Source organism: Homo sapiens, chromosome 20, assembly GCF_000001405.40.
Source record: "Homo sapiens chromosome 20, GRCh38.p14 Primary Assembly".
Lineage (NCBI taxonomy): Eukaryota > Metazoa > Chordata > Mammalia > Primates > Hominidae > Homo > Homo sapiens.
The window spans coordinates 8243505-8268050 of record NC_000020.11 but is presented as its reverse complement, the minus strand read 5'-3'; the positions used below and the strand labels follow the sequence as shown (position 1 = coordinate 8268050).

General features: G+C 38.1%; 1 protein-coding gene and 1 long non-coding RNA gene across 3 annotated transcripts in view; both read right to left on the bottom strand.

The window, feature by feature from the left end:
* Nucleotides 1-24546, bottom strand: part of PLCB1 (phospholipase C beta 1) — a 752635-nt gene that overhangs the window by 616850 nt on the left and 111239 nt on the right. The gene's annotated exons all lie outside the window — the stretch shown is intronic.
* PLCB1-IT1 (PLCB1 intronic transcript 1) lies at nucleotides 18309-19347 on the bottom strand. Its single transcript, NR_046809.1, has 2 exons — nucleotides 19261-19347; nucleotides 18309-18594 (listed from the first exon to the last, which is right to left on the bottom strand). It is a non-coding gene; the product is annotated as a PLCB1 intronic transcript 1 (long non-coding RNA).

Below are 24546 nucleotides of genomic sequence, written 5' to 3'. Positions count from 1 at the left end.
ACATGACACATGTATACATATGTAACAAACCTGCACGTTGTGCACATGTACCCTAGAACTTAAAGTATAATAATAATAATAATAATAATAAAGACAGATGGAAAGTACCTCTGATTGGTCCTGTCCCACAACCAATCAGACTGGTTGTGGGCCAAGTCTTCATATGTAACTTTGTAACTCTGCTTCAGCCAGTGATTGGTCCTCTCCTAGAGCCAATCAAACTGGTCATGGGCCACTCCTTTATTTACATAGGGTGTAACCAAGTAACCAATAGGCAACCTCTAGAGAGTATTTGAACCCCAGAAAATTCTGTAATCTGGGCTCCTGAGCCACTTGCTCAAGCCCGCTCCCGTTCTGTGGAGTATACTTTTGTTTCAATAAATCTATGCTTTTTTTGCTTTAAAAAAACAAAAGAAAATGACAGAAAATAACATTGTAACATGTATTTCAGGTTGAGTTTTCTAAAACCAGAGTCTGAGACAGGGATTGGGATGCCCGTGATTTCTTGAGAGTGACTCTCAGGAACAGGAGAAGGAGGGAAGCAGAAAGTGAATGAGGCAGAGCTGAGTAAGGCTGTGGCCTCAGCTGGAGTCCACCCTGAGCGTGGACCCAAGGGAGTTCTGGAGCATGGATTATACCACAGAGATGTCCCATCTTGAGGAAAACTGGTTGGGATGTTTGCACTGTGTCAGACAGGCTACCCCGCAGAAGGCAGTGGGTGGGATGTGAACCGTGGGCTAGGAGCAGTTCTCCATAGGACTCAGTTGGGGGCTAATAAAAGCCAACACTAGCAGCAGCTGGAGAATCACCAGCCCAAGGGGATCTGGCACAAAGCCAACATCAACCCTTAAGGCATGATTATTGCTTGCTGAGTATTGACAAGCTATGTTCCTCCACCATTAGAAGGTATCACTGAAGCATTTCTTTTTGGCAGTGTTAACAGGTCATGTCTTGTATTTAAGGTACGGTCATCCCAGATGTACCCATTCTTTTTTTTTCCCTTTTTTTTTTTTTAGACGAAGTCTCGCTCTCGTTGCCCAGACTGGAGTACAATGGCACGATCTAGGCTCATTGCACCCTCCGCCTCCCAGGTTCAAGCGATTCTTGCCTCAGCATCCCAAGTAGCTGGAATTATGGGTGCCTGCCACCATGCCCAGCTAATTTTTGTATTTTTAGTAGAGACAAGGTTTCACCATGTTGGCCAGGCTGGACTCGAACTCCTGACCTCAGGTGGTCCACCCGCCTTGGCCTCCCAAAATGCTGGGATTACAGGCGTGAGCCACTGCACCCGGCCCAGATGTACCCATTCTTAACAGGCAGATGAGATGATAGGTAGGGCATCTGGAGAGAAAGGCTATTTTAAAAGTCCAGTTGGGGAGGTCTTCCTGAAAGGTGGTGGCTTCCATATGCAGTGGATCCATGCCATCTGTGGTAGATTGGTTTCATTAGCACCCCAATTAATAGCCTCCATGTAGCCACATCGTTTGCCCTATAACTTTGTAGCTCCCTCCTACGCTTGCTCTTGGCTTGGCCATAGACTTTCTTTAAGCAACAGGATATTAGCTGACTCGATTCAAGAAGAAATGATGCCTGAGCATTTATGCTTTCTTTTTGCTGCTATGTGATTGCCATGATATTATGACTGGACTAGCCTGAGAAAAACCCAGTGCTAGCCTCTTGGAGGATGAGGTACCATGTGGAGCAGAGCCCATTCTTCTCTGCTGAGAGCCCAGCCACATCATTGCCCCTCCAAGTCAAATGAAACCAACAAGCTAATACAGAGCTGAGTGTAGGCATGTGAATGAGCCCTGATGGGATATGCTCAGATCAGTAGAACCAATGCAACCATATTACTAGAAACTACAAGTAAGTGTTGTAAGCCTGAAGTTCTGGGATGGCTTGTTACATAGCATTATTGTAGCAATGGTTAATCGATACACAACTAAAAATTGCCAACACACAAAGCCTCAACACTGACATCGACTGAAAAAGAAGAACCCAAAGCCTTAACAGCAAGTTAACTTAGCATTTGACTAAATAAAGTAAGGGATTCAAGAAGACAGGCATTCTTACTTAGATTCTAAATAAGTATCCAGGTAAATATGGTTATTTTTACAATAAAAATTAGTCCTCCACCTTACTCTAATGATTGATTTCCACAATGACATTTGTATGATTTCCTAAGGTGATGGTAAAAAAAGTTAAAAATAATAAAAACAATGACTCACAAAACACTAAATACTGTTCCTGCTGTGTTGGCACCTGCTTTTATTGTTAAGTAACTGTTGCTAGGTTAAAGAAAAAGACTATGATTTTGTTAATAATATTATTATGACTTAGCAAAGTTGATAGGAACTGGAGACATGTATTTATGTTCCACCATTCTGGAAATTAGAAATTACTGAAGTTCATATGTTGCAGAATAAAAATTAAAGGACAAGAACACATTAAGATATAAATTTGAGATGCAGTTAGCTACCCATAATAGTAGGTGCCCCAAAATATTTTTTTCAAAGCATAAATGAAATAACAAAAATGCCTGTGAAAGCTCTGTTTTTATATTTTATCCAAGTTCCCTTCTAGCCAAAAATGTGTTCAGTTAGACATGATCAGTGATATAATTATTTGGATAGTAAATGCCTCCCCCACCCATTGGCAAGTCTTAAATGGTACTTCGCCATTCGCTTGTGGAATGAAAAGGCCCTGAATTAGACAATTCAAATGGTAACAACTATCCCAGTGCTTTCATGTGTCAGATTCAGGACCAAGTGTTTTTTTATATGCATTCACTCATTTAATCCTCACAACTGCTCTAAGGAATAGACACTGCTGTTCCCATTTTATGGAGGAGAAGATTGAGATTGTTCAAAATTATGCAGCTAATGACTGGTGTAATTGGTAGAGGTAGGATTAAGTCCAAGAATACCTGCCACTAAAACTGATGATCTTAAACATAGAATTCTGTACAGTGTCAGACAAATGACAAGTATTTTCAGCGTAGCCATTTCCTGGACTTACGAGTAATTTCCTTTTGAGGTAAGAGCTAGAAATAGGGATAGGACTCTCAAGGTTTCCTCATTAATTATCTCCCTGACCCCCTAAAATGCATCTCCAACCATACATGTTGGCAGATTACATGGATTGCTACATTTCCCCAGGGCAGTAGGAGGAAAGCACCAAAATTCTTTAGAATGAAACTTCATATCTGTCATTTGCTAAGGTGAAAATATCCTTTGCTGCCAATAAATATTGACTTACACCACATTAATAAAGAATCAAAATCAGGCATAAGAGATGAACATATGTGTGTGTACCTACATACACACACACAGTCATGTGCCCCATAATGACATTTCAGTCCATGAGAGACTGCCTATATGATAGTGGTCCCATAAGATTATAACAGAGCTGAAAAAATTCCTATAACCTAGTGATGTCATGGCTGCCATAACGTTGCAGAGCAACACATCACTCATGCGTTTATGGTATTGCTGGTACAAGCAAAACTATATTGCTGCTAGTTGTATAAAACTCTAGTACATAAAATTATGTATAGTACATAATACTTGATAATGATAATAAACAACTATGTTACTGGTTTATGTGTTTACTATACTATACTATACATTTCATTATTATTTTAGAGTATACTCTTCCTAATAATTAAAGAAAAAAATTAACTGTAAAACAGTCTCAGGTGGGTCCTTCAGTGGCAATTTCAGAAGAAGGCATTGCTATCATATGAGGTGACAGTTCCATGCATATTATCGCCCCTGCAGACCTTCCAGTGGGACAAGATGTGGAAGTGGAAGATAGTGATATTGATGATGCTGACTCTGTCTGAGTAGGTTAATGTGTGTGTTTGCATCTTAGTTTTTAACAAACAAGTTTAAAAAGTAAAAACTAAATATTTAAAAATTGAAGAAACTTATAGAATAAGTCTGTAAAGAAATAAAATATTTTTGTACAGTTGTACAATGTGTTTGTGTTTCAAGCTGAGTGTTCTTACAAGAGTCAAAAGTTTAAATAATTTAAAAGTTTATAAAGTAAAAAAGTTAAAGTAGCTAAGGTGGATAATTTATTATTGAGGGGAAAAGTTTATTAAAATAAATTTATTTTAGCCTAAGTATACAGTGTTTATAAATTCTCTAGTAGTGTACATTAATGTCCTAGGCCTTCACATTCACTCACCAGTCACTCAACAACTCACCCAGAGCAACTTCCAGGCCTAGGAGCTCCATTCATGGTAAGTGTTTTATACAGGTCCATTGTTCTTTTATCTTTTATATCGTATTTTCAATGTACCTTTTCTATGTTTACATACATTTAGATACATGAATACTTACCATTATGTTACAATTGCTTACAGTATTCAGCACAGTAATATGCTGTACAAGTTTGTACCTAGGAGCAATAAGCTATGCCATATATTTTAGGTATGTAGTAGTCTCTACCATCTAGGTTTGCATAAGTTCAGTCCCTGATGTTCACACAATATCAGAATGAATCCCCAGCATTAAGTGACACATGATTATAATATATAATAAGGAAAGAATTAGCAATTTTTATGTTACATAGTGAAGGCGTTCAAATTTCTCCTAATGGGATTGAGTCAACTGATGTCATATTTGAGGAAATAACCTCAGCATTTGAAAGTGATGTTTAATGTCACAATCTGAAATAATATTGAACCAATTAAAACTTTTATTGATGATATGCTCAGCATCTCCTTTTTAATACAGTCATTTTGATTTTTCTTCTAGTAATGAGAAATTGCCTCATTTCTTAACTACTCCAGAGTTTAACCCAGGCTAATAATCAACAGTTACCAGTTACTGAACACTTACTCTGTGCCAGACACAATTTTTTTTTGGTACTATAGATATTAACTCATTCATTCCCATCTAACAGATGACAAAACTGAGGCTTAGAGAGGTTAAGTAAGTTGTCCAGGATTATTTGGGCAGTCAGTGGCAGAGCTGAAATGTTGCCTGTCCTGCATTAGGAATGTTTATGTGTTCCCCCAAATTCATTTGTTGAAGCCCTTAATCCCCAATGTGATTATATTTAGAGGTGGGGCCTTTGTGAGGTAATTAGGTTTAGATTAGGTCATCAGAGGGGGACCCTCATGATGGAGTTAGAGCCCTTGTAAAAAGAGGAAGACGAATCTTTCTCTCTCTCTCTCATTCTCTTTCTCCCTCATACACAAACAAAAGGAAGGTCAGTTGAACACACAGCAAGAAGGCAGCTGCAAGTCAGAAAGCAGGTCCTCACCAGGAACCAAATCTGTTGGCACTTTCATCTTAGACTTCCCAGCCTCTGGAATGGTGAGAAATAACTGTCTGTTGTTTAAGCCACTCCGTCTATGATATTTTGTTATAGCAGCCTGTACGAAAAGAGAGCTCAAATTTTGGGGAGCATAAAACATTCAGATAATGAAGCTGGGTATTCATATATTTCAAATAGCCAGGTACACCTAGACTCTTCCAGTGACTGAAGGCAATTCTAAATTCTGCTGAGCGGCATGCTCTAAACTATGTCTCCCTGTTTCTCTTTCTTCATTGGGGTTCTCACGAAACAAAGACACCATGGATTATACATTCCCCACTGCTGCATCCCTCTAATATTTGGGTATTTCCTTGTGTTAAGAAGGGAAGAAAGGCCGGGTGCAATGGCTTACACCTGTAATCCTAGCACTTTGGGAGGCCAAGGCAGGTGGATCACCTGAGGTCAGGAGTTCGAGACCAGCCTGACCAACATGGTGAAACCCCGTCTCTACTGAAAATACAATAAAAAAAAAAAGTAGCCTGGCGTGGTGGCATGTGCCTGTTGTCCCAGATATTTGTGAGTCTGAGGCAGGAGAAACAGGCAAATCCTTAAACTCAGGAGGTGGAGGTTGCAGTGAGTTAGCTGAGATCATGCCACTGCACTCCAGCCTGGCAAGACTCTGACAGAGCAAGACTCTGTCTCAAAAACAAACAAACAAACAAACAAAAACGCACATAAAAACAAAAAATGAAGGGAAGGAATAATCCCCAGCTGCCATCAAGAAGAAAGCAGCTAAGAGTGCCCTGTCTGAGATGTATGTGGGGCTACCTGGATGTCTAACTCATAGAGACTTTTGTGATGGATTAGATCTCAATGTCTGGATGACCAATAATACATGGAGACTTGTGTGTCTGATGGACTTTATTTCAATGAGAATTAATCTCAATACTAAATACAATGCTTATCCTCTTGGTTTAAGAAGAAAAGTAAGTTTTCTGTCTTCATTTGTCAGGATTCAGCATTTATTATGTTTTTGTCCTTTCAATTGTTTTAGGATAACAGGTAACCAAATAGGCAAGACTCAGGAGATATCATGCACTCTACCCCACTGTCACCTTCAATAAATTAGGTGGGTTGGTTATTCTTGGGCTCCTAGATAAAAGTCTCCATAAATTTTCTAGTTATACTCTCCCAGATCCCCTGGTCAACCATTAATGGCTCATGGAAAGATCACGTTCATTTCACGTTAAAGCTTCTCTTCATAAGGCTCGACATCAACCGCAAAGCTGGAATCTTATAGGAAGGAAAGAGTTTAATAGCCTTAAGGTATGTTTCCCTAAATAGCTTAGTTAGACATCTCCTTTTCTACCTTGCTAACATGAATTTTGGCACTTAGAGGAGCTTAGTGAAGAGATAAGGGGAGGCAGAGGGGTTCTTACCTGATTGTTAAAGTAGTAACATGTCAATATGCTCTCTAAGCGCGGCAAGTGTATGAAGTTCTCTTTCTCTCTCTCTCTCCTCTTAATGTTTTATTGGGGGCGTTTCTCAGAGTTCCCTATATCAGGTTTGGTTCCCTAAATGTAGAGCCTGAGACAGGGATTCTTGTGCAAATGATTTTTGAGGAAGTGCTCTCAGAAGAACCCTCTAAAAGATCAAGAGAAGCAGAAGGGGGCAGTAGAAGGAGCTTGACAAACATGTTGTTTCAGATGAAATTTAGTCCCCACCCGATCCCTTGGAGACCTCTGGAGCATGGATTGCAACACAAGGGCTGTGAGGTCTTGAGGCAAGGCAGCCGTGCTTTCTTTTATACCTCTGCATTTTTCGGTCGCTGACCATGGGCAGTCTCCAGATTGGTGGAAGGCATAAACTACAAGGCATCTCTGGGAAAGGGGACTCCTGTCAGCCCAGGGCAGTTGGCCAGAGAATGGGGGCAGCTATGAGTTTCTAGTAACTGGTACCCGCAGCAGCTTGAGAATGAATGCACATGCCTTGGGTATAGAAGTTATAGATGACATGAACAACACTGCTAACCACGCTCCCACAAGAGCTCTTTCTTTAGGAGCTCTTTGGATGGGCATGCTATGCTTCCCTCTAGCTCATTGTTTATTCCCTCTTTAGCACCAGGCATAGATGATTCTAGCTTATCTAAGCTAGGATTTGCTTGTCCCTCTTATAACAGCACCTTGGACAGAATCTAAGAATACTCCCACACTGGTCACAGGCCATCCTGCAAGTGGTCCTGTTAGGCCCCATCTCACTGCACTAGAGGTGTAAGAGAGGACTCAGACAACATTCCTGACTCTCCCTAAAGTCCTCCACAGGACCCACTCTCAGCTTTCTCAGCCTCTCCAAGCTTCCCAGTCTTACTTTGTGATTTTCATTAAGAAATGTAGTGGTAGGCCATGTGCAGTGGTTCATGCCTGTAATCCCAGCATTTCGGGAGGCTCAGGAGGGGAGAATTGCTTGAGCCCAGGAGTTTGAGACCAGTCTGGGCACTATGGAAAGACCTTGTCTCTAACAGAAAAAAAAAAAAAAAATGCTGGGTGCTACGGTGTGTGCCTGTAGTCCCAGCTGATAAGGAGGCTGAGGCTATAAGATTGCTTGAGTCTAGGAGTTTGAGGGTGCAGTGAGCTATGATCTCAAAACTACACTCCAGTCTGGGCAACACTGTCTGAAAAAAAAAAGAAAAAAAAAGAAACAAGAAATGAAAAGAAAAAGAATGTAGTAGTCTTTATTCCTTGGCCACTGTGAACACAAGAAGAGTCCTATTTTCACATCCAGATAGACTGATTTAGAATATGTTCTTGTGACACTCCTTTTTTAGGGAGAGAGAGTCTGAAAGTTACATGCTTATGTGAGACACCCAAAAATTACTAGATTCAACTTCAGGAAAATCAATGTAATGATTGTGTGCCAAACCAGGTAACACGGGATCCTCTGTGAGATACCCAAGTATTTCAAATGATTTATTAGAGGAAAACTTAAGATTGATGAAATGCAATGTACTAATTCTGAAAATTATTTTTAAAATTGGCATATTTTGGATTTAAGCAGCAAAACAATGGTAATCAAATGGGAACACAGTCTGAGATCTACTGGTATGCCTGATTATACCAGTAGACAACAGATAATCGCTTTTAGTGGAGACTTTATATTATTTATTTATTGAGACAGGGTCTCATCCTGTTACCCAGACTGGAGTGCAGTGGTGTGATCTTGGATCACACCATCCTCTGCCTTTGGGGCTCAAGCGATCCTCCCACCTCAGCCTCCCCAGTAGCTGGGACCACAGGAGTGTGTCACCATGCCTGGCTACTTCTTATATTTTTAGTAGAGATAGGGTTTGTCATGTTGCCCAGGCTGGTCTCTAAGTCTTGACATCAAGTGATCCGCCTACCTCAGCCTCCCAAAGTGCTCTAATTAGAGGCACTACCCACCATGCCCAGCCAGCAGAGACTTAGAGTAACACCTTTGGATTCAGACTTCCCTGCCACACCCTACTCCTATACACACAAAGTGATTATTTTACCATTTTATTGGATTTTTTCCAAAACAAGTAAGAACATAATTAAATGGCTTTTGTTGTAATTACCAAAAACTAGAAACAAATGTCCTTCAAGTGGGGAATGGGAACTGTGAGTATCCATCCAATAAAATATTACTCATCAGTGAAAAAGAATGAATCACTGATACATGGATAAATCTAAAAGGCGTTATGCTACATGAAAAGAGCCAGACTCAAAAGGCTACATATTGTATGATTCCATTTATATTTTGGGAAAGGAAACAAATCTGTGGTTGCCAGAGACCGGAGAAAGGGGTTAATGACAAAAGAATGCATGGAAATGTTGCCAGTGACAGAACTGTCGTATATCTTGACTTTGGTGATGGATACATGAATGTATAGAATTGTTAAGACTCGCACAACTGTAGACACATACAGGTACCTTTTACTCTGTGCAAAGTATACTTAAATTTTAAAAACAGAAAAAAAAACCCACATGGCTTAACAATGTGCATATTAAGCCAAAAATAACACTAATCGAAATTTTAAAAACAGAATTAGTGTATTTGTTGGTAAGAGTGAAATTATCGCCAATTTTAAATAAGTATTAGAATCCCAAATTCAAAGTATTTTCTCTTCAGAAGTAATTATTATTAATCTGTAATAAATTCCTCTTCTTAAATCAATGAATTCCAGTCTATGCAAATCAGATTTTTAAGGTCTAGCACTTTGCAGGGAAAAACTGAACTCAAGATCTATTTCTTCAAGTGTATGAAATTCACATACCAAACGTTTTTCTATCATCTAAGCTCACCACTTCCAGAGCAAATGTAAACCCACGAATGAGACCAAATCAAGAGTATCTAAGAAGTTAGTAGTAAAGATTCTATAGCACTGATACAGCCTGTTCTCCAGGCAGGCTCCACAATCAATCAATGCTTTATATGAGGTCCAAGGATCTATGAAGAGAACTATAATCACTTTCTTTTCTTTGTGGCATAATTCAGTCAATATTATGGTTGGTACATTTTTAGGGAACAATTAGAAACCACCAAATAAAGAATAAGATGCTGGCATATTACAAGAGTAAAGAATGTGCCACTTTTCTTAGGCTTCACGTACTCTTTATATATAATGTTTCTTTTTAAAAAAATCATGCCATACATAATGAGAAATTTCTGTATTTAGAAAAACATGTGGAATGAGTGTAAACTTGAGTAAATCTAGGTAATTCATTGCATTTTAGCCAACAGCCTAAAAAATGCATATTGCTTCACAAAATTATATATTAGAAATCACCTTAAAAATAAACGAGTCTCATGGACATTCTGAATGACCTTTAAGTCTTATATCCCTTTTACAAGTGGCATCACTATCTGTGCATCTGTGTGTGGTCGGGGGGTATTCATCCAATACCTCAAGCTACTTGGGAACAGTGTCTTTGTCCTTTATCTCTGTCTCTCAGGCCCCTGGCAGAGGCATACAGCATGTAACTTTAAACAAGTGTGAAAAAAATCAGTGAAAATTCATGAAGGTTGGAATAGAAACCAACTGTAGTGTTGACAGTGAGAGTTAACATTTATTGCCTACCAGGCATTGATCACTGGCCTGTGTATTCCACACATACTGACTTTCGGAATTCTCACAATCACCCTGTGACGTAGGAACCATTATTATCCCTGTTCTACTGGGAGGCGTAAAAAGATTAAATAATGTAGAACACACAGGTAACACATAACTAAGCTTAAATTCAAACGCAAGCAGTCTGTCTTTGAAGTCAGCCATCCTAACTATTTTGTAATATTATCTCTCTCATTATATTAGACTACAAAATTCACAGGCCAGGCAGGTAGAAACAGATGTTATATTTTGATTTTTTTCTTATAAAATTATTACCATATGAGTAGATATTTAAGTCTATCCTTTCTAATTTTCTTTTTCATTTTCTCTAATTTTGTAATTTGTTCAATAAGAAACAGTTGTGTAAAAATCACTCTAGTACCTGATTTTTCTAGACTTGGTTGATGAAACTACTCTAAGGAGATTACATTCATCTTACCTGTAAACTGTAAATGACATGTTAGCCTTTCTGGCCCAAGTATTAAGCTAAATATAGGAATTATGTTCTCCAGGTGAAGGTTGCTTTGGGGAATCGTTCATCTAAAACCTAGAACTTTTAGAGGTATCTCTGGAGACAGAACACATGTAAAACGATCCCTTTAAATTGCGGGCTCAAAATAAAAAATTTGGTTTGATTTACAGTTCCATTTACCCATACCCTTTTAGGAAATCATTTGTTCAGTAACACAAGATTCACAATGCTCCCAGAGAAAACACAATCCTTCCTTTAGCAATAGTAAACTCTTAAATGCAAAATATTTATTACAATCAAATTGACAGAAAATTGCCCAGTTTAAGTAAGTCTTCTACTCTTAATCCTGGATTAGATTAATTTCCACATTAATCTTCTTTTTAGTAGGAGCTCAGCCAGAAGCAGGAAAGAGGGTCTTTATGGAAACTTGACTGAAGGATTTCTTTATATTGCTCCAATGAAAAGGGTAGGGAGGAGAAGAGCATCTGATAAGTTGACTGCATTCATGGCCTCCATTAATGGCCTCCTTATTTTTTTCTCTACCTTTTGCCTTGTTACTCTGCCATTTCTCCCATCAAAAAATTGGAGATTATTTTCCCCTCCTGTTAAATCTGGGCTGGCCTGTGACCTCCTATAGCGAGCAGGATGTGGTCAAAGTGACACTGTACTTGATCCAGTTTAGGCCTCAACATGCCTTCAATTCTTCCATTGTCTTGGAGCCCTGTCTTTGCCCTTTGAACAGGCCTGGGCTAGTTAGTCTGTTGAGGATTAGAGAGGACCAGGGTAGAGGAGAACTGAAGTGCCCCAGGCAAACAGCCAAAAGACTCTCAGAACCAGAGTGGCTTAGCAGAATGGCTGACCATACACACAAGGAAGCCAGGAAGAACCACCCAGGATAGGCCAGCTTAAACTGCTAACTCATAGAATTGGCACTAAGTAAATGGTTGTTGTTGAAGTTACTATGTTTGGGATGGTTGTTATATAGCAATAGTTAACAGATACAGTCTCTATTACAGGAAATACAGTCATGCATCACTTAATGAGGGGGATAATTTCTGAGAAATGTGTCCTTAGTTGACTTCATTGTGCAAACATCGCAGAGTGTATTTACACAAACCTAGATGGTGTAGCCTACTACACACCCAGGCTATATGGTATAGCCCATTGCTCCTTGGCTACAAACTATACAGCATGTTACTGTATCGAACTCTGTAGGCAACTGCAAAACAATGGAAAGTATTTGTATATGTAAACATATAAAAGGTACAGGAAAAATTTGATATTATAATCTTATAAGACCACCATCATATATGTGGTTCGTCGCTGATTGAAACGTCATTATGGGGATCATGATGATGTATGTAAAAATAACCCCCAGAATATTTTAAAATATGTATTGGTCTTTTGAATATCGACAATTTATTAAATATTTACACCCCATAGAAGAAATTAAACTGTCATTTAACATAAAGTATAATTATATAAGCTTAATTTATTTTCCTTGGTATATTTTTTATACATTCCTAATTCTTAATAAATGTGTTGACTTGAACTGGCTAACTGGTTGTCTTCAATAATGCAATGCTTTATTAGAAGGATATTAATGGTAAAATCTTAGACCCTCTATGAACTCAGGAATTATAAGCGTATGATATATAAAAGTCTTAACATTTTGTATCATACCTTAAGTAATACAATAACTGCTAAGCTGAAGGACAACTATAACATTCTTTAAAAATCTTAAATAAGGATTAGGGCAATGACATTGTTATTGAATTTGTCTTGTTCTGTTTTGTTTCTGAGCAATGAGTCACAATTAGAACATTTTCTACTTCCATCCAGTGTTTGTATCTGTGTGTTTGTGTATATGTATATATATGGAGATCTTCTCAAAAGAATATTTATCCTTACTACCTCTGATATTACTATTTTCTAGTATATTCTGTTATGTTCTATTGCACTGTTCATTTTTGTAAAATGCTGATGTCCAACCAATAAACTGATGTCATAACCTACCCGTGGGTCAAGACCACTAGTTTGAAAAACACTGGAGTTAGTTTACATCTGCTGTGAATCATGGTCATCGGAAAATGTTTTGATGATAAAGTACTTGCCTAAGGGTTGAGCTGTTCTTTGCTCAGTGTTAAGACTTTTTTCTCCATTGCAAGTGGCCACAGGTAGTTTTTCCAATATAGTAATGACAACGATTAACAAGTGCCTGGTGCTTTTCAGATTACAAAGCATTTTTCAAATATATTACTTCAAACCTCCATTGGGTTAATTGGCAAAGGAAATACAATATTGTGCAATTAAGTTCAATTCTAGGTAGATCTGTAATTTTATTATTCAAGATAAAGTGAACCTTCAGCAACTAAGACATATGACACCATTTTCCCATGTCCTGGTAATCTAGTTAGTTTTGAATGTGTGATGTGCAGGGATCTTCTGGAAGAGGCATACATTATTTTAAACAAAAAGTGCCTCGTAGCGGTATAAAATAATTCAACCTAATAAGTCAACCATATCAGGTTGCACTATAGTCAAACGAAGTTACAAAGCCAAAGATTGGTAGCCTGTATATTACATAAGCCTTTATATGAAGAAAAGCCTTTTTTTTTCTTGATTAAGCACTCCTCAGGAAAGAGGAGCCTGATTTATACTCAAGTCCTAACAAAGTCACTCATGTTACCAGTGTCTTCGTAATTACCTTATTTTGAACAACAGAACAATGTTTGGGGAAGATACATTAGCCCAAAATTACCTCTACTAATCCTAGTTTGGATACTTCTAGAGGTTTACTTAAATGAAACAAATATATCAGAAAGTTAAACAAAAATGAGCACAGACTTAGTAATTATTCCCAGGTGGGTATAACCTAACAATTGCAAATGTTGTACACAATTTAAAGAGGTTTGCAGCACCTCAAACAATATAAATATAAGTGAAAAATATGTGTTCTGGAAAAGTCTACTAGATGACTTCAAAATGTGCTCCAGTGGTCACAAAGACAATGTGTCCAAGAGTCACGTGAAGATTTAGCAGGGAAAAGGTTCTCTGAAATGTGTACAATATAGCACTATTCATAACAAACATATTGTTTAGTATAAATGCTTTCAATATATGTGTGAATAGCAAAGTCCCGGAGTTAATTTAGGTGCCTGTCAAGGGTGGATTTGATAAAGAAAATGTGGTATATGTACACCGTGGGATACTACACAGCCATAACAAGAAACGAAATCATGTCCTTTGCAGCAACATAGATGCAGCTGGAGGCCATTATCTTGAGCAAATTAATGCAGGAACAGAAAACCAAATACTGCATGTTCTCGCTTATAAGTGGGAACTAAATATTGGATACTGGTGAACACAAAGATAGCAACAATAGAAACTGGGGAATACTAGAGTGGGGAGGGAGGAAAGGGACCAGGAGTTGAAAAACTCAGGTACCATGCTTAGTTCTTGGGTGATGGGAACATTCATACCCAAAACCTCATCATTAGGCAATATTCCCAGGTAACAAACCTGCACATGTACTCCCTGTATCTAAAATAAAAGTTGAAAATAAATAAATATATGTGAAGAGAGACACTGCTAGATATCAACTCAATATTCTTCCTGTCCTCTGTGAATAAAACCACAAATTCATGTAGACCAGAAATGCATTTAGCCCCAGGCAATAAATCATGGTTTGTCGAAAATGGTGATTCTCAGACCTAGTGGCAAATTAAAGTCACCTGAGGATAAATATGTCAGTCTCGTATTGGTATATGGGTAGGTCAATGGATCAGAAGAGAGTCCAGAGATAGACTGACATATATAAAATCAATTAATTTTTGACAAGGGTGCCAATGAAATGGACTAGGAAAAGGAAATTTTCTAAGTGAATAGTGCTAGAGTAACTGTACATCAACAAGGAAAAACAACAACAACAAATAAAATTTGACCACCAATTCCTATCAGTTATTGGCTGAAGGATGCCCTTAGGGAAGTCAATACCTCTGAATTCCAGCTTGGTGAGTGGGCCAAGAGTTTCTGTCGTTTCAATAGAGCACTCTGCACATGATATCAACAGGCTGATGCCAGTAAGAATATTCTGGAATGCTCAGGTCTGAGGGCTATGAGAACACTCATAGTATTTGCTACAGGAGACCATATTATTGTTAATCCAAACTGGAATACTTCAGAGAGTGAGAATGGGCATTATTAAGAATTTCTACTGAGAAAACAGGCATAAAAAGGGACTGTCCCAGAAAAACCTGAACATGTGGTCACCTAGATATAAGTAAGGCAAAACAAAGCTATAATGGCACCACAGAAACCATTTTAACTCAAGCCTATTGAACTGATGCTAATTATAGCCATGACAGGAAGTCATGGCATAGCTTAATGCTGTTCCCTACATACACATCTCTGTCAAATAGTAAGTGGTCTGGCTAGCGAAATTCTACACTCAGTGCTCTATATACAGCAGGGGTGAGTAAGGGACAGTGGATGGGGAAAGCAAGTGAGAATTCAATTTGCCTTGTGAGCTAATGAGATTTTATTGAAAACAATCTTAGAAACAGTGTGGTCCAGCTGCACTGCTTATGCACGAAGCAACTATTTAATAAAATGGAAATTTTCATCAAAATGTATTCTAATTTATTCTAATGCTATATGAGATCACTGGATTAGAATTAGGCATTACCAATTTATATGACCTACTTTTCATCTTTTTTTTTTCTTCCATTCCAGCATTCTGCAGGGATAAGAGAAAAGTGAAGTATGAAGTTTTCTTGGTGTTAGTGACCCTAAGCAGCTCCAAAACAGGATTCACTGACCTTTAGGCATAGTTTTCACAAGGGAAGTCAGCAGGTTCACATCCAAGAGATTTTGGTGGCTATTCATTACAGTCTAGAAGAGCCATGCTGTCTTTGCATACAGAGACTAGCAGGTGCCTGATGCAAAGCAATGCCCCTTGGGAGTCAAGCTTCACCAAGGACTTCCATGCTTGTTTGGATGGCTGGATCTCGACATTGCCAAGTTGTGTATCCTCCCCTCCTCTGCTTTTCTTTCCTTTCTATCCAGTCTATGATAGATGTACCACTCTAACCTCACTCCCCCATCACTCATACGTCTTACTTCCTATCTTTCATGTATTGAATTTGTGAAGATCTGCTTGAGCCATCAAGTAATAGCATCACCTAGGTCCTTCAGGGCTTCCTACCTTTTCAAAGAGCTTGCAGAGGGCAGCTGTCAGTCTTGACCCACCAATGAGAAAATACTCACACCCAGATTCCTAAGTCCATGGCAAAAAATATCTTTCATCCACGGGCATTCCTAATTCCAGTGGCCTTTAGAGCAGCAAACCAGTGATGTCACCACAAACTTCACCATCAAAAAATCTGTTCCAATTCTGAAGGCTTTTTGGGGAGAGGGACCTAGGAATGTGTCTCACTCGCAACTATGTAATCTGAGTTGTAGGAAAATTCCCTTTTCTATTATCTTAACCATAGCAGATGCCTCCTAAAAGGGGCACATGCCCTTCTAATAACCAGCAGGAAGAAAATATAGGAACCACTTTGAACAGCATATACAGTTTCTTTGTAATCTGACCCTCATCCAACCATGCCTCAGCTGCAGTCACTCCTTGCCTTATACTTCATTCTCCAACAACTCAAAGTCTCTGATAGATTCTGGAAGCTCTGGCAGGTCTTCATGCTTTTGACCATGTTGTTTCCCCTGCTTTGAAAGACCTCTCCTGCTCTTATCCGCCTGGCAAACTCCTCTCTGTGCACCAAGCCTCAGCTCCAAGGCTACTTTCCTTACTCTCCCTAGCAGATATAAAGCTTTTCTCCTTGAGGACTGCACCGTTCTTGGCCTAACCATCATCACTGTTGTTGCTTGAATGTTTGTGTTCCCCCCAAATTCCTATGTTGAAACTTAACTCCCACTGTGATCGTATTAAGAGGTAGGGCCTTTGGGAGGCGATTAAGTCATGAGGACATCCCCTCACAAATGAGGTTAGTGTCCTTACAAAACAGACTTGAGGGAGCCTGTTTGTCCCTTTGCACTTCTGACAAGTGCAGACACAGTTTAAAAGCACTCATCTATGAGAACAGACCACTACCAGACACTGACTCTGCTGGTGCCCTTGATCTTGGACTTCCCAGCTTCTAGAACTGTAAGCAATAAATTCCTAATGTTTATAAATTAACCAGTCTAAGGTATTGTTGTAATAGCAGTCTGAACAGACCAAGACAATCAGAGTACATATCTTATGTCTCCTATGTTGTTTTGTTTGTATCACTCCTGTAAATTCTGTGAATAAAAGGAACTATGTCTTTTCATCTCTGAATCCACAGCAGCTAGCAAAGTCCCTGGCATATTGTTGGGAGCTCAATAAATATTTGTAGACCGACAGCCTCAAAGTAAGATGAAATGCATCATGGCTCTTGCCCCCTGACCTGGCAGCCAGCAATGTCTCTGTTATATTGTTGGGGCTTAATAAATATTTGCTAACTGACAGACAGAAAGGAAGATTAAATGCACTATGAGTAAACTTAAGTTCACTAAAAGTTTAAAATGGAACTTTTGTAGGTATGCTTTATTGATTGTTTTTCCTACTTTATTAGACTGTGGATTAAGGGATTTTTTTTTAAAAGGAAAGGTTAAAAAAGCCACTCAAAGATGGCAAAAGATATGATGAAGGGTATCTAACTCCCAACCACCTTACAGATGCAAAATCATTTGGAGCACAAGGTCACAAAACCCAACAGATTACAAATAATAAAGTAAAATAGATGCGAAAATTGTAACATAGACAATACAGGTATTTATAGTAGCAATCTATGTTATGTGATTATTAAGTGATTTTCTCCTTAATTAACTAACTAAAAATTGAAAAGTATTAAATGGGAAACACTAAAGGAGTAAGATTGCTTTTGCTATGCACCTTGAAAGCATTCTTTTAAGCCTGCATTTCACTTCCCCAATGTCAGATTTTCACAGATATGGGATGGCGCCCATCAGATATAGAAATGATAGGTTTAAGCTTAAATCCCAGTTTTTCAATAACTCCTCGTGTGTTTGATTTTGCAGCTGTGTCAGGGAAAATGTACTCATTCTCAACTAATTCTCCACTAAATGTACTAAGTCAGGAATTGAAGTGAGTTGGCCTGCCTGTTAATACTTTGCACCTAAAACAATGACAGTAAATCTCTGGCAACAGGCTTGAGCCTCAGTTCCTCAGGCTTCTAACCCACCATCCTCATGGTCATAAATTTTGAATGGGTAACATTGGAAGCATGAATAATTAGGGGAGGGCACAGCTAATATGCTCAGTCACATCAGAGAAATGGCACAGTGAGTGATCTGCCAGTAATCAAAAGAAACAAATTGAGACTCAGGGCCTTCTGCTTATGGGGCTCACTGGGGTCACACACAGCGACAGACTGTCTCATCTTTGCTGCTTCAGACAGACAGACACGAAGACATGGCTTTAATGACAGCTCAGATTTCAGAGTGGACGTGACCTAAAATCACCAGGAAGCACAGAGCAAAGGGAAAGTGAGTTGTCCATCTATGATACTTTCTGTCGATCACAATAAGAGTTAAAGGATGCTACATCATTCCAATAGTCTTCATAATTAATTTTGGAATCTTGCCACCATTCATGATTTAAGGGTTCCAGTTCTCATGTAGCTTCAGGCAAAGTTTTCTTTCCAATTACTTCCAATGATGGACAGGCCTTTACCCACACAAGGATAATGTGAGAATGATAACAAGTCATGAATTACCGATGAAGTGTTTTATTAACTTACCTCGAAAATATTTAAAATTGCTTATTAGCAATTTCTAATCTCTCAAGAGACCCCAAAATGAGGCACATTAGAAATAATTACACCTTAAAATAGATCATCTTTTCACAAATATAAATGCCTTTTTAAAGACGTCAAAGACCACTAACAGCGTTTTGGAAATCTTCTATTTAAATAACTCTATTTCTTATGTAAATCGAACACTTGGATTTTTTAAATTACATTTCCTTAGTTAAAAACTACAGTTGACGATTTATGCAACCAAAATATTTCATTTTGATTTTCAGAAATATCCATGCAAGTCTTAGGATTTCATTTCCCCAGAAGAGAATTTCAGAATTCCTTCTAAATTCTGAAATCTCCTGAAACTTCCTTTGCTTTCTTTTTAAGTTGGTCTTTCCTAAAATCTCGAGTTAAAATGAAAAGACCATACCTCTTTAGAAGTAAATCTCTCAGCTTATCCATTCATTTAGGAGGAATAGTCCTATATAGCCTGAAAACTAATCACCAATTATTCCCTTCTACGGGGATAATATTAAAGCTGATTCTTGCATACCACCTTCCTTCACCTACTAATACTCTAATCAAATACTCACAGCCACATTCAGATTGTGAATCTTCTGGCAAAAGATTAACTGGGGAAGGTTGAAGCAGATCTTTTGGGTATTTGGTCTTCAAAGATAGACTCGTTTCTCTGGACTGATACTGCTTTAGTAGCTGCTTACAAAAATAACACATGAATTTTGACCTCAGTAGTAGACCTGCCCTTCCCGTCAGAAGGCCACCATTTTAACAAAAGATGTGTTTTGCTGGTGCCTATAAAACCCAAGAGGACGTAGCAGATACTGCTGCTGCCACCAGAGTTGCCACCTCTGTCCCTTTTGCAGGGTCTGTGCTCCCATTCCCAGCTTTTACATGCTTTATTTCCAACTGCAGCCTTCTTCAGAAGGCTGAGAATGGAAATGGTAATCTGGATGGCAACAGAAGATACTGCTGCAGCAGTATCTGTAGCAGCCTTCTTCAGAAATTTCTCTTTTGCTACTGCAACTGCCCTAACACTATGGAGAGCTGGAAGTGCTTGGGAGGTGATAGCCCACCCAGGAGGGCCCATAGCCAGTGACAGATGGATGAAGGAATGTAAAAGCCAAGCTACCTTGCCTCCAGGCAGGACATACTCTGAGGTGCTATTTATGTTCCAGAGTACTCTATGAGGTCATGAAGAGGCTGGAACTTCACCTGAAATGGAACCCAGATGTGTCTTCTTTCCCTTCCTTGGCCTGCTCCTCTGCCAGTCTCTCCTGAGATGCTTCCCTAATAAATCCCCTGCACATAATCCTCATTTCAAGGTCTGTTTCTGGGGAACACAATCTAGGACAGAGGACTAGTTTATCAGCTGGTCAGCCCCAAGAAAGAGAGGAAGTGAAAGAAGAAGAAGGATAATTTTATACAGCACTTACTCCTTCCAGACCCTGCCCTAGGCATTCTGTATGGATTATCTCATTGGCTCTTACCCAAGGGTAATATAGGTGCAATCTGGACACTTGAAAGAAAACCCTAAAGCTAAGATGAAGAAACACAAGGACGTCTGCACAAGTGGTCCTTTGTCATTTAGTCACCACTCCTGATCTGACTTGAGAGGGTCATTTCCTATGCTGCCCTTGCTTTTGAGAGTAAAAAAATATTGAGCATTTACTACTATGTTCCAGGTATTAGGCAAAAGTGTGTGTGTGTGTGTGTGTGTGTGTTTGCGTGTATGTGTGTGTGTGTGCTGTATTAAATTGTCTAAGTTCACTCATGTTATTTATAAATGGTGGCACTGGAATTTGAATCTTAGCCTGGCCAATTCTTAAATTCATGTTTTCATTTACTATATGTGAATTAAAAAATAAAGCAACATTCACTAAGCTCCTAATTTAAGATGGTTTTCTAAAGCTCCTTCATTTAACCATTTAAAATTTCTAATGATTTCTAAAGATACCCTCATTTCTATGTCACTAGGCCTTCAAGAAGAAATGATATGTTGAATGAATGAGTTAGAGAATATGTCATTTTAAGCTGTATAAAGAAAAAAAGAGAAATCTGAAAATCAAATTGGATAATTCATATGGCTGAGGGCCAAGAAATAAGAAACCCATGCATCTCAGGTGATGAACCCTTTATGAAACTGATAGATATTTCCTATGCCTCAGTTTACTCATCTGATAAATGTCTTTTCTTGGCACAATAGGGCAAAGGTTTTGGGAACTGATAGTATTGAGAGAGGATGCTAAAGGTGTAGGAAGTGTGGTAATATTGAGAATATGACAGTGCTCCTTGGAAAATGCAATTCACAAGTATTGTAAGCCATCTGTATTAAAGAATTAGTTTTGATACCTTGATTATCTAGCCAAACAGACCTGCTGCTGTGGAAAACCACAGTATAATATCCTGTCTTCTGGCTACCTGAGAAATAGAGATTAAAATCATTGCAGACATAAGGACTTCAAGAGCATGAGGGTAGCTCTAAAGAGTGGAAAGATTCAGTTCAGCTTAGTCATTCAGAGGAAGCAAATCCTCATCTCAGAAAAAAATTCCCCGAGAAAAGAAAACCAGCCATTTGCAAATTAAAAGATAAAAACTATGTACAAGGTATTCTCAGCAGAAACACATATGCACACACATACTTACATAGTAATAATAAAAAATCAGTGTCCAGGCTCTATGGGATGAATTAAATAAGGTAGTAAGAAAATTTATTTTGCTTTGCTTCCTACACTGAATGAAATAGCTGCAATTATTCCTCAACCTCTTTCTTTGCCTTCTGCTATGTGTCCTGGTAGTAATTCCCATCAGGTGGTTGAACCTGAGATCACTTTGTGACTTGCTTTAACAGAAAATGTGGTGGAAACCATGCTGTGTCAGTTCTAACAACAGGCCTCAAGAATTCTTGCATGTTTCTACATTCTCTCTTGAAACCATACCCCTACATGTGCATAAGCCTGAAAAGGCCTGCTGGAGGATAAGCGCTTTATGGCTCAATTGCCCCTATTTTCATAGCTGAAGTCAATCTTCAGAGCAAAGCAACCTAGCTGACTCAGCAGCTTATCATAGATGCTTGAATGAGCCCAGATGCAACAGAAGAACCCTGCTGCTAAGCCCTTACCAGATGATCACATAATCAGAGCCTAAATATGTAGTTGTAATTTCAAATCACTACATTTTGGGATGGCTTTTGCACAAAAATAGCTATCTGATGCATGTCTTTTGTGTTTTAAATTTTAGTATTTTTTATGATTGGCAATGTAATGAGATCATTCTCCTATAAACCACCCTATTTCATGTTACCAATGAATGCTCATGTACAAAATAAAAGGTACGGTGAACATCATATTTGAGAAGTAATATTGCATGGTAGATAAAAATCACAGACACTCAAATGGAAAATCCAGGATTTGAATCTGAGGTCTCCTGCTGATTTTGTGAAAATTATTTCAATTTTTTCTTAATTCCCTCATTTGGAAAGAGTTAAAAGAATAATACTACACAGTACCACATTTCGTTATTGTAAATATTAAATAAATACATGAAAAGACCTTAGAACAGTGCCTCACCTACAGCAAGTACTAAACACAAACAAATTTGATTGTTAACAATGGCAATGCTCTTTCCATCATACCAAACGCATACACTCTTACATATAGTCTTTTTGATTCTTATAATTGCTCTGTATTGTGAGTGGCCAAGTATAAATTTATCTCCCTTTGATGGATGAGGAGACATGGGCTCAGACCATCTAAGTGACAAACTCTGATTGCTGTTTCTGAGGCCAAAGCTTTCTCACTGTAGTACACAAAAGACCTTGCCCAACCAAAACCTATAAACAAAGAACTGCTTAAGTAAATTATGCTATATCTACAGCAGGGACTACTGGGCCACCATAATATACAAGTTGACTTACAGGAATTTCCATGAAGTTTTACTGGGTGAATAAAAGCAAAATGCAGGGAAGTTTGCATACTATAATATCATTTTTATAGCACAAAGACAAATAAAGCTGTACTTATCTATGAATGTTAGTATGTGTGGGTGTACACATATACACCCATACACACATATTTATGTGATAAGTATGCCTTATTATATGAGCTTACATATTAAGTAGGACACACATAGGTTGTGACAATAGAGAGGTAAAGTAAAAGAGGTAGAAGAAACAGGGAAAACATTTTCAAAAAAGACTGCACCAAAATGCTCCACAAGCATGCATAAGGCTCTATTTACAAGAGTGGGTATATATTTATATACATATAAACATTTTAAAAGTAAAAACTCTGCTTAAAATTAAAACACATTTTTTCTTCTTCAATGTATCTAATTGGATATGATATAAAATATAAAAATATTACTTGTCATACATCCCCCCCTCCAAAATAGAACCTCTCCTAAGCCACACTATTTTACTATTTTCACAATATAACAAATTTCCTTTTTTGCAATAAACACAGACAAGTTAAAATCCCTTTGTATTTGCCTGGATACTTCCATTGCATCATCTCCTCTCCAGTTTGGCCCAGAACCAACCTTTTGTACTAGACTTAGCCTCTCTCTTCTCTGTGGAATTGGAAAGGAGAAAATAATGTGTTGTGAAACATTTTGAGGTATAAAACATATATTTCATACTTTTACTGCGGTATAGCATATACATGGGGAAGTATCTAACCTTCGTGCACAGTGGGATGAGTGTTTGCATATGTACACACTCATGAAAGCACCACTTAGACATCTCCATCTCCAAAATTATCAGGCACCCCTTTCCTGGAAAAACCCTCCCCAGGAAGAGAGTGGGTTACTCTTCTGATGTCTACCAGCTTCAATTAGTTTTGCCTTTCTTGAATTTCATATACAAGGAATCATATTTCTCTTTTGTGTCCTATTTCTTCCACTTAACATGACATTTCTGAAATTTTATCCATATTGTAGCATGGATTAATAGTTCATTCTTTTTATTGCTGAACAGTATTCTATTTTGTGAATATACTACAATTTGTTTATCTATCCAATTGTTGATAAATAATTTATTGTTCACAGTTTGGGGCTATTACAAATACGACTGTATGATTATTCTTGTAACCATCTTCTAGTGGACACATATGATCATTTATCTTAGACTGATACAGTAGATATATGTAGGGCACAGACAAACATTAATAAATAGTTTTCCAAAGTGGTAGTAGCCAATTTACACTGCTACCAGCAATGCACTAGAGTTCTCGTTATCTATATCTTTGCCAAATGTGGTACTGCCAGTCATTCAATTTTTGCCATTCCAGTGGACATGTAGTATATCTTTACACTGATCTAAAGTAAATGTCAGTATGACTTTGTTATATTAATTTTCACCATGACATTCTCTGATACAAAAGAGTATAAATCTGATCTTAATTAGTAAAAACCTATTCTTTCAATTATTAAAAAATTAGAGAACCACATTTAATTTTGAGGTCATGCATAAAAATTATGAGGAAACTGAAATTATGCCATACAGATTCATTACTAACAGCACACCACTTTGGTGGTATTAGAAAACATTTGTTTTCAATTCTAAGAGAACAGCTAAAAACAATTACTATAGGCCTTTAGCATTTGACCTTATCACAAGTTTTGGGGAGGAAAATATTCTTGATCTCTGATTCCATAGCCAAGTTACAAAGCATTCCTATGTGCATTGCATATTCTTAATGAACAAAATAGAGTGGTTTTTAGGAATTAAAGTGCTTGTAAATCAGATCTGGAGTTAAATAAAGTAAGCACCACAAAGCATATGGCTTGTCTCTTTAAAGGTTCTATTTATATCCATTGGATGACAACCATTAGGAGGTACATAGCTCCCTTAGCCGGAGTTA